General features: G+C 38.7%; 1 pseudogene across 1 annotated transcript; it reads left to right on the top strand.

Moving 5' to 3' along the window:
• The first annotated feature begins 547 nt into the window (after nt 1-547).
• Nucleotides 548-11,680, top strand: AKAP17BP (A-kinase anchoring protein 17B, pseudogene; annotated as a pseudogene). The gene is made up of 4 exons (NR_171575.1): nt 548-1,300; nt 3,359-3,489; nt 5,386-5,571; nt 7,271-11,680. The product of NR_171575.1 is annotated as an A-kinase anchoring protein 17B, pseudogene (transcript).

Below are 13,651 nucleotides of genomic sequence, written 5' to 3'. Positions count from 1 at the left end.
ACTTTGTTCTTCTTCAATATTGAGTTAGCTATTCTGGATCTTTTGCCTCTCCATATAAACTTTAGAATCAGTTTGCCAATATCTACAAAATAACTCACTGGGATTTTGATTGGGATTGCATTGAATCTATTGATCAAGTTGGCAAGAACTGACATCTTGAGTCTTCTTATTCGTGGACCACATATTTAGTTTTTCTTTTCCTTGTATAGATCTTGTACATATTTTGTTAGATTTCTAACTAAGTATCTCATTGTTTTGTGTGCTAATGTAAATGGTATTGAGTTTTAAATTTCAAGTTCTACTTGTTCGTTGCTGCTATATAGGAAGGCTATTGTCTTTTTTGTATTAACCTTATATTCTGAAGCCCTGCTGAAATAACTTATTAGTTCCGGGAATCAGAAGATATTATTTTAATTCTGCTTGTAGTATAGCTTTCCTTATCAATTTGTTCTAAGTCCAGCAATGCCAGCACCATTTCACAATCCAAATCTGTGTATTACTCCATCTGTATCAAAATTTTCTCTTTCGTTCTCTAAGGTGGTCTGAGGACAACATGACAGTCACAGTGGTGTATGATAACTCTGAGGCAACAGAGCTCTGTGCAGCTCAGCACCTCTACCTCAAGCCCATAGCAAAATTGTTGATCAACATATTGCTTCCAGGGAGTCTAGAACCTGTAAGGCCCTTCTCTAACTGGGAAGTTCTTGACCAGCTGAAGAGCCTGATTTGCCCTGACCAGTTCACCACAGTTCAGCTCTCCAAGAGTACAAAGGACTTCATTCAATTGGAGGGTGAGGCTGAAACCCGAAGTTTGGTTCAGATCCTGAAGGCAAAGTTACATGGGAAGATTATCAAGCTAAATGGTTTGAAAAAACACTTAAAAGTAGTGGCTACAGATGCCCAGGGAGAATGGGAGCACTTCCCCAAGGAAAAAGAGCCCTCGTTGAGTGATGGGGCTGAAGAGCAGGAGAAGAGCCCAGATTCCATATGTTTTGAAGAGTTGCCCTGTAAATGGTTTGCACCTAAATGTTCTAGCAAAGAGAAGCCATATGAAGAGATCCTTTGGGTAGTCTTTGAAAGTTTTGGGAAGATCAAGAATGTGGATATCCTTATGCTTGGCCCCTACAGAGAAGTGATGACTGACAGGAGCTTTGGGGGTTTTAGCTTTGGCTTACAGACATTTGAGGCATTCATACAGTAACAAGAGGCAACTGACTTTGTAAAAGCCATGGAGTCCCTTTGAAGAATGAAACTGATGCTTAAAGGAAATGATGGGAAAGCTCTGGCATGTAACATTAAGGTAAGAAGTAGCCAGAGTTTCTTTTATTTTCCACTGTTCAGGTGATCCTGAATAAAAGCTGGAAGGAAGCATCTAGAATAAATTTTCTTAGACCCTACCAGGCTCTGATCAATAACTAATATATAAAGACTTTTATTATTTTTAATAAATGGATGTTTAGGAAGAAAAAAATCCTGATTTGAACACTCATTCTTGTGCTATCAGGCATGCTGCCAGCTATGACTTTAAAGTGATGGTTCTTATAATCTGAGGTTCTGTCTCAACTACTTGAGGGCATTAAAGAATTCTTCATGGCCCCTATGGAATTATCTCATATGCTTATTATATTTGACAAGTTGCTGAGAGAGAGGAAGAGAGGAATACATGCAGTTTGAAACCACATGGAGGCCAGGTGTGGTGGCTCACGCCTGTAATCCCAGCATTTTGGGAGGCTGAGGCGGGTGGATTGCTTGAGGTCAGGAGTTCGAGACTGGCCTGGCCAACACGGCAAAACCCTGTCTCTACTAAAAATAGAAAAATTAGCCAGGCGTGGTGGCACACACCTTTAATCACAGCTACTTGGGAGGCTGAGGCATGAGAATCGCTTGAACCTGGGAGGTGGAGGTTGCAGTGAGCCGAGATTACACCACTGCACGCAGGCCTGGATGGAAGAGTGAGACTCAGATAAACTGCTAAACATAATCCTAACAAACTTGGATTCTTTACTTTCAAAATCAGCCTGTCTACTCCATCATGTCATCTCATTGATGTCTACATACTTTCGTCATCTCCTTCTTGAAGTTTTAACCCAGCAGTGGAAAAGATGCAACTAAACTCTCCTTTTTCTGTAAATCAGTCTTTAGCATGAATTTGGACTTTCTGCTTCCAGTGTATGAGTGTGTGTGTGTGTGTGTGTGTGTGTGTGTGTGTGTGCATGTGTGTATGTGCATGTGTGTATATGTAGCTAGCTAAGTTAAAATGTATATTTTTAAATTATGAGCTATTCAGTCAGGCAAATGATATAGCAAATACTGTCATGACCACCCATGTACCACTGCTCAGCTTAAAAAATAAAAAATTAGGCTGGGTGCGGTAGCTTGCACCTGTAATCCTGGCACTTTGGGAGGCCGAGGCAGACGGATCATTTTGAGCTCTGAGACAACATAGCAAAACCTCATCTCTACAAAAAGTACAAAATGAGCCAGGTGTGGTGGCTCTTGCCTGTGGTCCCAGCTACTTGGGAGGCTGAGGCTGGAAGATCGCTTGAGCCGGGAAGCAGAGGTAGCAGTGAGCCAAGATCATGCCACTGCACTCCAGCCTGGGCGATAGAGCAAGAAGCTATCTCAAAAAACAAACAAATAAACAAAAATAAATAAATAAATAAATAATAAATAAAACATTACCACAAGATGAGAGACCACTTCCCGCTGTCCAGTGTCTGGTTATAATTTTCTTGTGATTTGGTTAACCAAAAATTTTAACCTATTTTATACTATTCTGTAGTATCTCAATCTAATTTTCACTTTATTTCAAGATTTGAAAAGTTGTTTACTAATCATGATAGATCTTCTCTCTCATCAGGTTAGTTTTTGTGCATCTTTGCTCCCCCTGCACCACACACACTTCTGATTATTTTTGTTTCTGATGATTAAAAAAATACATTAGCTCATTTGATCTTTTTAACGAACCAGAAGTAATATATTGACATTTCTCAGCCTGTGCCTACGATGGCACTGTGATGGTGTCTATGACCATATGTAAAGTAAGCTCCTCAGGTTTTTTTTTTTTTTAAACAGCTTTATTGAGGTACGACTGACAAGTAAAATTGTGTAAAGTTAAGGTGATGATTTGATATACTTATTCAAGGGTTCTGCCAAAGAAAATCCTCAAGCCTACGAGCACTGTTTGGCTGGTGGCTGAGAAGCAGTAGGAATATGAATACTGGGATGCAGTGAGGACGTTTTGAATTCAATTGATTTTGAATTACCATGTACCATCTTAGTTTTATCTCTCTGACCTGGGACGTACCCAGCCAGCTGGCAAACTTTTCTAATGAAACTTTGAATTGTTTTGGAGCAGGTTACGTCTGATACGACCAAGCACTTCAGCGAAGGAGCTATAAGGAGGAGAAATCAGGAAAGGCTAAAATTACAAGAACTAGAAGAAGAAAGGAAAAAAGAAAAGAAAAGAGAAGAGGAAGTAGCTGAAAGGTGTGTGGACCAACTTTAACAAAGATTTTTTTTCTTTGATTTATGGATTAATCCTTTTGGATGAACAGCCAGACTTGGTAGATAACATTGAGATGGGGGGCAAGAATTGGAGCAGATTGGAAAACGCCACTGAAAGCTACAGTCTTTCAGCTGTGCTGTTACAAAACCAAAATGGCAAAACTGTTGAAAACAAGAGACTTCAAAAAAAAATATGTTTGTCAGGGAGGACAAATAATGAGGAATGATGGAACTAGCTAGATTAAGATGTCTGGAAAGAAATGATTTTTTTAAAAAGGGACAAGAAACTTTTATAGTGAAAATCCTAGCCTGCCAAGTTAAGAATTTTACCAGTTTACCAAATATTATCAAAATTACCTAGCCTACTAATTTAAAATTTTTAAGAATTTAGTGCTGGGATGGAATTTCTTCTTAAAATGTTCAATAACCAAGCTAACTTGTATGCAAGAAGGCATGGATTGATTGGGAGTATTTTTCTCGTTCGCCATGTTGGCCAGGCTGGTCTCGAACTCCTGACCTCAGGTGATCTGCCCACTGTGGCCTCCCAAAATACTGGGATTACAGGTGTGAGCCACCGCACTCGGCCTCTTTGTATTTATTTCTTTGAGCTTATCGTTGACGTCCAGTTCAGGAGTTTGAGTCTAGAAGGGGCTATTGGATTGCCAAAGGTTGCCAGTCGAGTACAGTTGAGCCAAAACTACAGAGCTTTGAAAATTAATTTTACTTCCTGGCCCTTCCTCATGCATGTTTATTCTTTTATTCTTTCATATAAATTGTAGCCATTCAGAAAAGGAGATAAGCAGGCTCACGCCTGTAATCCCAGCACTTTGGGAGGCTGAGGTGGGAGGATCACTTGAGGCCAGGAGTTCAAGACCAGCCTGGGCAACACGGGGAAACCCTGTCTCTACAAAAATTAAAAAAAAAAAAATTAGCCAGGCGTGGTGGCACACGCCTGTAGTCCCAGCTACTCGAGAGGGTGAGGCGGGAGAATCACTTAAGCCCAGGAGTCTGAGGCTACAGTGAGCTATGATCGTGCCACTGCACTCTAACCTGGGTGACAGAGCAAGACTCTGTCTCAAAAAAAAAGGAGATAAAGAATACCCTTCCATGTGTCCCTTACTTTTTTGGCTAGTGGAGTGATAGGAATTACTTGAGGTCATGTCTGTGAAACTTGGCCAGAGCTTGAGCCTAGTAAATATAACTAGTCCCCCCCAAATCCAGGCTAAACATCCAATTTAGATAATCCTCTGAGTTTTGGCTAAGTTCTGACTTAGGTAATTGTCCCTTCTTTCCCTTTCCCCACGTTCCCATAAGGGCCTAACCAAGACAGTTTTAATTTTCAGAAAACAGCAGAAAAAAAGCCCATATTCTTCTAAGCCAGTATGTTTTTCTGATAGTGTGCTGTGTTAAGTAATATGTACCAAGGACCAGTTCTTACCCTGAAGATTTTCTGAGTATTTTGACTCACCTTTGTCTGTTTGAAACCAACTCATAGGTTTTATTCACAAGAAAAATGAAATAGTCTCCATGAAAGCTGGATTCTGTGATCCCTGCTTGTGGTTTGAGAATGTGGGGGCTAAAGGCCCCTCCTTTGAATTCTGTAGCCTTCTTTATTTGATACTCTATCTCTGCAGAAGGCCTCCTTTACAGCTTCTATTTGACTAAGAAAATGATGTGTCTTTCCCCTTGACTGGTGCTTAACAGTGTTTTGTTTTGTTTTGTTTTTTTATTATAATTGTCTATGTTAGGCACTGGGGTTAACAGTGGTGGATTCCTGGAAGCTGAGATGATCTGTTCTTCCTTGGCAGTGGGAGGGAGGGAGGAAATCAAATGCCTAATAAATACCTTCTGAGTGGTTTAATCTTAATCATTGTCCAGAAAAAGAAAAGATGATGAGCAAAAAGTCCGAGTAAAGAGGAAGAAGGCCAGGGTAAGGAGACAAGCCCTGAAGGAAAGAGACAGACACCGGCACAGGAAACAGAAGCCCAAAGCCAAAGCTGAGGCACCTCAAGAGCCAGACTCTTCAGAGGAGTGGGAGGAGAGGAAGTACCTAGTGGCTCAGAGGTGAGTTGAGGCACTTCGGTTCCTAAGGGTACTCCTGAGGAAAATTTCAGGAAGGCTATTGCCGAATTGTTCTTCAAGTTTGGTAGGTACTCACCTTTCTGAGACATTACCTTTGCATTTGAGCAGTGGCCTATTGAAAATTCACTCCATGGAAGACTCATTGCATCCACTGGGGCTTATTTTAAATAGGCTGACCTCTAACAATCCGATAGATTTACAAAAGGGATATCCACATTCTCTAAAGGAGTTGCGTCCCAACCTTCCATTTGACTCTCTCTCTCTTTCTCTCTCTCATTCTCTCTCTCTTTGTGTCTCTAAACTTCAGGACAGTATTACCCAGAGCATTTAGCTAATGCTTCTACTTTTCTAAGTTCCTAATGGATGTAACAGAAAAATGCCAGAGGGAAGAAACGGATGGGGGGTGGGTGTCAGGTGTTATTAACTTTACTTTTCCACTCATCTGCAGTAGGTTTGGTAGAGTCTTGAGCCTTGTAACAAGCTCGTGATAATCTAGTCTTAAACTATTTGATAAGAAATTTCTCACCTCACAGAGCAATTGTTATGTTTGGAGAGTTTCATTTTTGGAAGGTGTTTCTCCCCCTTCCTGACCTCCTAAAGATAGCCAGATTCTGCAGATGTCCTGGATTAAAAGCCAGAAAAGCTACCAAAGTGTTCATTTAAAAATCCATATTCAGTGTTTTAAAATATGAATAGTAAATGCCATTAGGATTACACAGAGTTACTTTTATGTATATTTGCAATCTTGACCTCTTTCTCATTAGTGTGGACAATCAAACTTAGTGAAATTAGGATCAGAAAAATGTCACATTTTTATTGATAATAAGGCTAGCTGGATCTCTTTTCATTTTCCTTAATGACCTCTGAGGGTGACTCCTAAAGAATCTATCTTTTTCAATGTGTGTGGTGTCTGATTCTTGGCCTCGTAAATACTAATACCCATTATGCAGTCCCAGGTTCTAATCCCAGGTAGTGTGTAGGCACTGTGCTCTGATGTGTGTCAGGTGTCAGTGAGAGCACAGTACAAAGCCTCCAGCAGGGTGGGGCCTGTGGGCAGCACCTTTCACCTGCTGTGCAGTTATGGAGAGCAGATAGCACTGCAGACATGATTGCAGATAGAACCACGATCACGGCCACATTTGCTACTTGCTACCTTGCTTCTTACTGAGCACAGGGGAATGGGGAGGAAACTCGGAGACAGCCTTACCTGCAGTCCACAGTAAGAGGCTGGTATGAAAAGAAAGACAGTTTATCTTTTAAGCTAGTGGACCCTTTTAGATATACGATTCACCTGTCAGTCTTTTCTTGTACTGGGATTTTTCTGGGAGGGCTATAGATAATTTCTTATTCCTCTTTGTATCTCCAGCTCCTAGCACAATACCTGGAACATCAGGCTTATTGATTTTCAAACAAGTGAAAAAAGAGTCATGTGCTTTGAAGGCTATGTAAAGTGTGGTGCCTTCTCACATAAGCATGGGCATAGACCTACTCAAAACAGTTCATATTAGACTAAGACATTTAATTTTGCCTTCTATTTCCTCAGTGCAATATTGTTCCTAATTTGGATCTATCCCAGGTATTGGAAGTCTCTTCAGAACAATGTCAGAAAGCACAATTTTTCTTTGGAATTTTTTAATCTGTTTAGTTTTTCATGAGAGATTTTTAATCTTTTTCTTTGAAGGGATCCATACAGTTTAACCCACAGGAAGTCGACATTATTGGCACCAAAGCTAATGATTCTCCAGGGAACACATTGAAAACTCTGGAAGAACAGCTAAACACTCTGTACCTTCAAAATCAAGAGGAAATGTCAAAATGTCAGGTTGCCAAGTCAGACAATAAACAAAAACAAAAAATGAAGAAAACAACTAGGGATCACTTACAGAAATCTTCCCACTGCCTTGGGGAAGAAAATTTAAGGTATTCCCCTAGAAAACAGAGAGCTGGAATATTATTAGATGATGAGGAATATGAATACAGTTTGTTTTTTAAGCATAACTCCTTGGAGATTACGATAATTGAAGGCCAGTCTCTTGAAAATGAAGACCACCACGGTTCTAGTGAATCCTGTTCCAGATTATCTGGGAGAGGCCAAGGCAGGAAACCTAAGATCCATGAAACAGATGCATTTTTTGACTATCTTTTCAATTATTATGAACCTCCACAATATACTCGTATCTGCCTAGAAACAAGTCAGGTAGCAGGCACATGTCAGTGGCAGAGGGATGTCCAAGCTAAGGGAGATGGATTTCAGATTAATTTGAGAAAGTGTAGGCATCACTCAATCAATTCGAGCCAAGTAGAAAACCTGGAAAGGAAAGAACAGGTTCAAGAAAATAATTACTCATCAAAGATTTGTACTCAGGATCCTGAGCGTAAACGAGGAAAAGTAGATTATGCCAAAGAATGTACTAATGGGTTTGAAACTCATTGCCAGGAGACAGCCCATAAAGCTGGTGGTCAGCTGTCCCCAACTGATGGAAACAGCTGTCTGTTGGAAAAGACTCATAGTTATCATATTGAAGATTCCAAATCCACAAGGAAAAGCCAAGTGTCCCCACCCCATGAGTCAATAGGCTTAGGTTTACAGTTGACAGATTTCTTAGAGGAAATTAGTAGTGATTCTGAATGCTTCAGTGAAACCCTTAGTATAAACAAAGAGGAGAAAGAGAAATCTGTGGCCACATTTAATAGTTTCTCAGAAAAAGAACCTCTTGACACTGACAAAATGATCACTCGCAAACAAAATACAAGGTCGAGTCAGCAGACCTTTTTTTCAAAGTGGAAGCGTGATGGTGAGGAAAAATACTCTAATTACAAGTTTAGGACACCAGGTAGGAAGTCTGAGTATGAACCGAGATGGATATGTTCATGGCCTAGGGGTGAAAGTCATTTCATTAGACATGAAAACAACAATGGACAAATGAAGGGACAACTAGCCCCCAGATACTTGTTTGATGAAGGCTACTACCAGGAACCCAGTTCCAGTTATCTAAAGAGGTTTAGTGATAGTACATTGGACCAGAAAGTGAACTATGGGCCCTCTCAGGTGCCCGTAATGTCATCAAGAAGTGCTAGGTCTTTCTATTTTGGTAATTTTCACGGAAGAAGAGGGACTCCTTGGAAGTCAGAATATAACCAGAATTCAAGATTTAGAGGATGTAATTATAACTATTTGAAGTTCAATTCTGATTATTACTATAATAGACATAATGGTCAGGAGTATATTGACTATGGAAGCTATTCAGGAAATAACTGCACTGGTTCTTTAAATTTTAAATGTTTTGATGACCACTTAGATCAGGAGTATCCTTTTTCACAATAAACATGTTACAAGAAGAAAATTTAAAACCAAATGTAGCCATGTAATTAACAACTACACAGGAAGACAGCAGCATTAAAAACTTCAGAACCTGTGTGTTTTATATTTCCCAAAGCTTGTCAATACACCTGGAGTCATTTTGACCTATGCTTTCAACTTTGGCAAGAGAAATAATAATTTGTATTTGACCCTGCTCAAGCTTTTAAATGCTGCTTGATCCAAGGATAGACATTTCTATGGTTCAGCTAAAACTTTACTTCTACGCCAGTGAAGGAGCAGATTAACATTGAGAGGGGTTGAGATGGCCCTCTATGGCTCCTTAGGTGTCATAACATCATCATTTAGTGTCATTTATCTCCAAAGACGACAGCAGTGAATGAATAATGATCCTTTTACATGTTCTTTGATTTGGTCAGAAACACCACGTGCAGCAACAAACTTTCCTGACTTTTATTTAGAAATAATTGTAGATAAAAGAGACGACAGTTAGAACATAGACTTCTTCATGACATTAAAGAGTTGCATGAGCACCCACCAGGAGAAAATTAATCTTATTACTATGTTTAAATACTCAAAGAGTTGTCTTTTTCAAGACAAAGTCTTGGAAGAAGAATCTAAAAGTGGTCCAGATTGTCCTTTGAGGTTTAAATGGATAGTATTTAAACCCATTAGCAGAGTTGTTGTTTTTTTTTTAAGAACCCCATGTCTTTCCATTTTAGAAAAACAGCAAGATTGAAGTAATATAACCACTGGAATTTGCAAAAGGAAATATTGAAAAATTGTGGGGCACCAATGATGTCACTTGAAAAAAGATGCTGTGACTATTCCACTTCAGGTTATGTAACCCTTTCACTCAGGGCTGGATTACATCAGTTTGTAAAGTCACTGAATATCCCCCAAACTGAACTTTATTAAACAGTAACAAGTGCCTCTCTTCTCAATCCTCAGTGATGCCATCAAGTTTTCAAAAAGAGTAAAGAGAAAAGCCTATAGTTTTGTAGCTAGGGAAAAATGTATATGTGTAGGATTTGTAAACTCTCAACATAAGCAATTGATCTTTTTACCTACTAGTTTTTGACTTCATAAATGTTTTTAAATTGAAATATTTTATGGATTCTTAAAGACTTACATCTTAGTGCAGTGCATGTTTTATAGAAAGCTCCGCTGATTCATTCTGCCTTACCTTGCATTTAGGACCTCAGGGGCAATCGATTACCTTTTTTTTCTCCAACAAAACTATGCCTGACCTGGTAATTGAAGACATTAATGAGATTAGAGACTGTCAGCAACAGGAAAAAGTCATTTTTAATCCACAGAAGCAGTAAAGGGCAACACTTTGATGTGACATGATTCATTCAAACACTCTTAATTTGACATTCTGTAGAAAAGTACCAGCTGATAGAGCCAGGTAGAATGCCAGTCATTGTGGTTGCCCAGAATATCACAATGTGTGCATATAACCAGCCTTTTGAGCAAACGGGTATGTGAAAGGGCTACAAAAGCTTATTTATCTGAAGGAAGAGCCACAAGTTGTTTCATCGATCTCTTCTAATCATAGAGCTATGTTAGTACATGCAAGAAGTCAGAAATGAATGTACCATAGCAGATGATGTTTATTATTAATAAGATAATAACCAGTGGATGATTTGTTGGCTCCCTTGTGTTCAATTCCACTTTCAAGCCAGTGACTCTTCCATCAAAACTAGATTTGGCTTGTCAAATCTGAAAAACATTGCTTATGGGGCAAGTGCCTTGAATGTTAATGTTCAAAGTACTGTTGTCCAGAGTAGCCTTTTGAACTGCTAACAGCTTGTATTTTGTCAGGCAACTTTCAGTAACCAGGTATTATTTTTCTTTGACGAAAACCTGCCTCTTAATTTTTCATGTGTCATGCCATTAAAACAAAGAATATTATGAGTTTGTAATGAGAAGCAGCTATGCTTTTGAAAAAAATCTCACTGTGTTCTGTCACTTGATTTTTCTTTGCAGAGTTTTTAGACATGAAAACAGTTTGCTGCTCAGTAGTCAGACATAAAAATAAATTGCAGAATACAGCATGTGCAATTTTTATGTGTAATAGAACCGGTGCTATTTCTATATAACATTTTTGTCTTTTTTTTTTTTTTTTTTTTGCTAAATACCATCCTGGGACTTAGAAGAAAGTAAAAATACTGGTTTTATGTTTACATTTTGTATAACCCTAGACTTGTATATGTCTTATAAAGAGTCAACCTTTTTGGTGGGTAGGCCCTAAATGAGGAAGATAACTTATCCTGTACTTTTTAATTGAATGGCTTAGTAAGGAGTAAAATACAACTAAAATATTGTAACCACCTTCTTAATTAACACTGCTATTGTTTGTTGTGCTAAGTGGTGCAAAAGTGTTTTCTCATATCTTTTTCTATGTCCTATTAAGGGCCTGAGCTTTAAACTTTGTCTTAAGGTATTTTCATGTTTTTCTTATGAGTTGTTGGTAGTTATGCAAAAAAACTAAAAATATGTCAATGTGCTTTCAATTTGTTTAAATTTCTCAGGTAGAAAGCCATGTAACCTGGTAATTTTGAAAATAAGAATCAAATAAACTTATTTTTACTTGTTGCAAAATTGTTTAAAATAGTCATTTTTAAATAAATGCTGATAAGTCCACCTTTGGGGGAAAGTTCCTACTTACAGTATGCTGCTTTGCACTAATGTTGCTGATCTCTTTTCTCATTTGCATTGTTAGAGAATACATATTTGTCAGATATATTAAAAATAAAATTATCATAGTGAATATTCTTTGTTCATTTATCACATGTATTGGCTAGCATGTTGCACATCCACAATAACATTTTCTGTGGAAATATAGATGCCTAATTTTAATATCATTTCTATGCAACTTTTCCCATTTTGTGGAAACTGACATTGTCAGAGTTCATGGGACTAAAGACCATAGTTTTATTTTCATTTTGGACAAACCGAAATAATGTTATTTAGATTTAAGATGATCCTCCCTTTAGCACATTTTATCAGTGCTAATAAGAGGTAGCAAAATTGACTCCATGGAATTTCACCTAATTCCTTCAGCCCTGGGTGGAAGTGTTCAAGTTATACAATGTGCAAAAACAATTATGGGTTTGGGATGGACAGTCTAGTCAGAGAAGGTAGGGGCCTCAATAATCAGTCTTTGACCATTCAAGAGTTAACTGTATTTTCATGTGAAATATACAGCAAACTGCCTCTAAGTATCATAACAAAGGCAGACTACCTTGGAGTAAAATCTGGGCACTTTAGAGCTGAAAGCGTCCGTCAGGTTCAAAGAGCTCTTTCTGAAACAGCAAGAAATGTATTGATGCTTGTTCTTGATCTAGGATTTGCATAAATTTGGCCCTCTGAAGTAAGGTGAATGTTACATTATGCAGGGAAGCCAGATATGCAGATACTGAAAACACGTAGTAAATGCTGCTTATGAACCACAGACGCTAGTTGAGAACAAACTGTCTCTGCAGCTGGTAGGATGACAGCAGGTGGGGAGCAAGCCAGATGTTAACCTAACACCTCCCTCCTTCACTGGACATGTGGTGGTTGTAACAACTACCCCCCCTCCCCCCGACACCACCATCTTCTTGAATGGTGCCTTTTACATGAATATGGCTTATGTATATGCTAGCTGGATTTGAGAAGTTTTTAGATCAAAGTCCTGCCTTACAGCAATATTCCTTTCCAAGTAACCAACACAATGTTGATTCAGCTCTGAATGGAAGAGAATCAGGTTATTGGGAGTGAAACTTTAGTGAGGCTCTAAATCAGGGGTGCCTAATCTCTTCGCTTCCCTGGGCCACATTGGAAGAACTGTCTTAGGCCACACATAAAATACACTAACACTAACGAGAGCTGATGAGCTAAAAAAAAAAAAAAAATTGCAAAAAAAACCTCATGTTTTAAGAAAGTTTACAAATTTGTGTTGAGCTACATTCAAAGCTTTCCTGGGCCGCATGCAGCCCGTGGGCCATGGGTTGGACAAGCTTGCTCTGGATATTTTCCTCTTGGCAGCAGACAAGCCTGTTTAACTTTGCAAAATGAGTAGCCTAATCTTCACATGCACATGAGATTTCAGGCTGCGAAGGTGGGCCCAACTTCTCTCCCCCACTCCTTCTCCAAAGCATAAGGCATAACAGGTTACATGGCACAAAACAGGCACTCAAACATTTGGTGAATGAAACCAAGTGGGAAAAAAAAAGAGCACATTAAAAAAAACTCACAAGTACCTGCAATGTGGTTTGATAACATGAAAAATGGAAATTTCTTTGGTTCAGGAAGTATATCTCTTATAAGAAAACTCTGCCAATGTTAACATTAAAATGACAAAACACTAATAGGTTGTCTTTGTTTATACAACTGACTGCATATGCAAATCTGTTATGCTTCTTTTGACACGAGGTGAATTAACTTTGCTACTGTAAGGATTCCTGATACTTTCCTGATCAGACAATACATTAACACAAAAAAACCCAAACCCTTCCTTAGCACTTGGCAATGACAATGCCTTCAGTAACCTTACTTCTTAAGAACCTTGCTATAGACTTCAAGGTGGAGGTCTGCCATTTACAGTTTAGAAAGTTCTGATTTAGGCAAAACTTTGACAAGTCACAAAAAAAGCAATTCAATTCACTATTTCTTAAACAGGACAAGCTGGTATTTGGTTTTTGGTGTGGGGTCTCCATGAAATTTTGCCCCTTGTTTCTTTTGGAATACAAAAAC

The sequence above is a fragment of the Homo sapiens genome, chromosome X (assembly GCF_000001405.40).
Source record: "Homo sapiens chromosome X, GRCh38.p14 Primary Assembly".
In the NCBI taxonomy this organism is placed as follows: Eukaryota; Metazoa; Chordata; class Mammalia; order Primates; family Hominidae; genus Homo; species Homo sapiens.
This window is presented reverse-complemented; position numbering and strand designations above follow the sequence as displayed.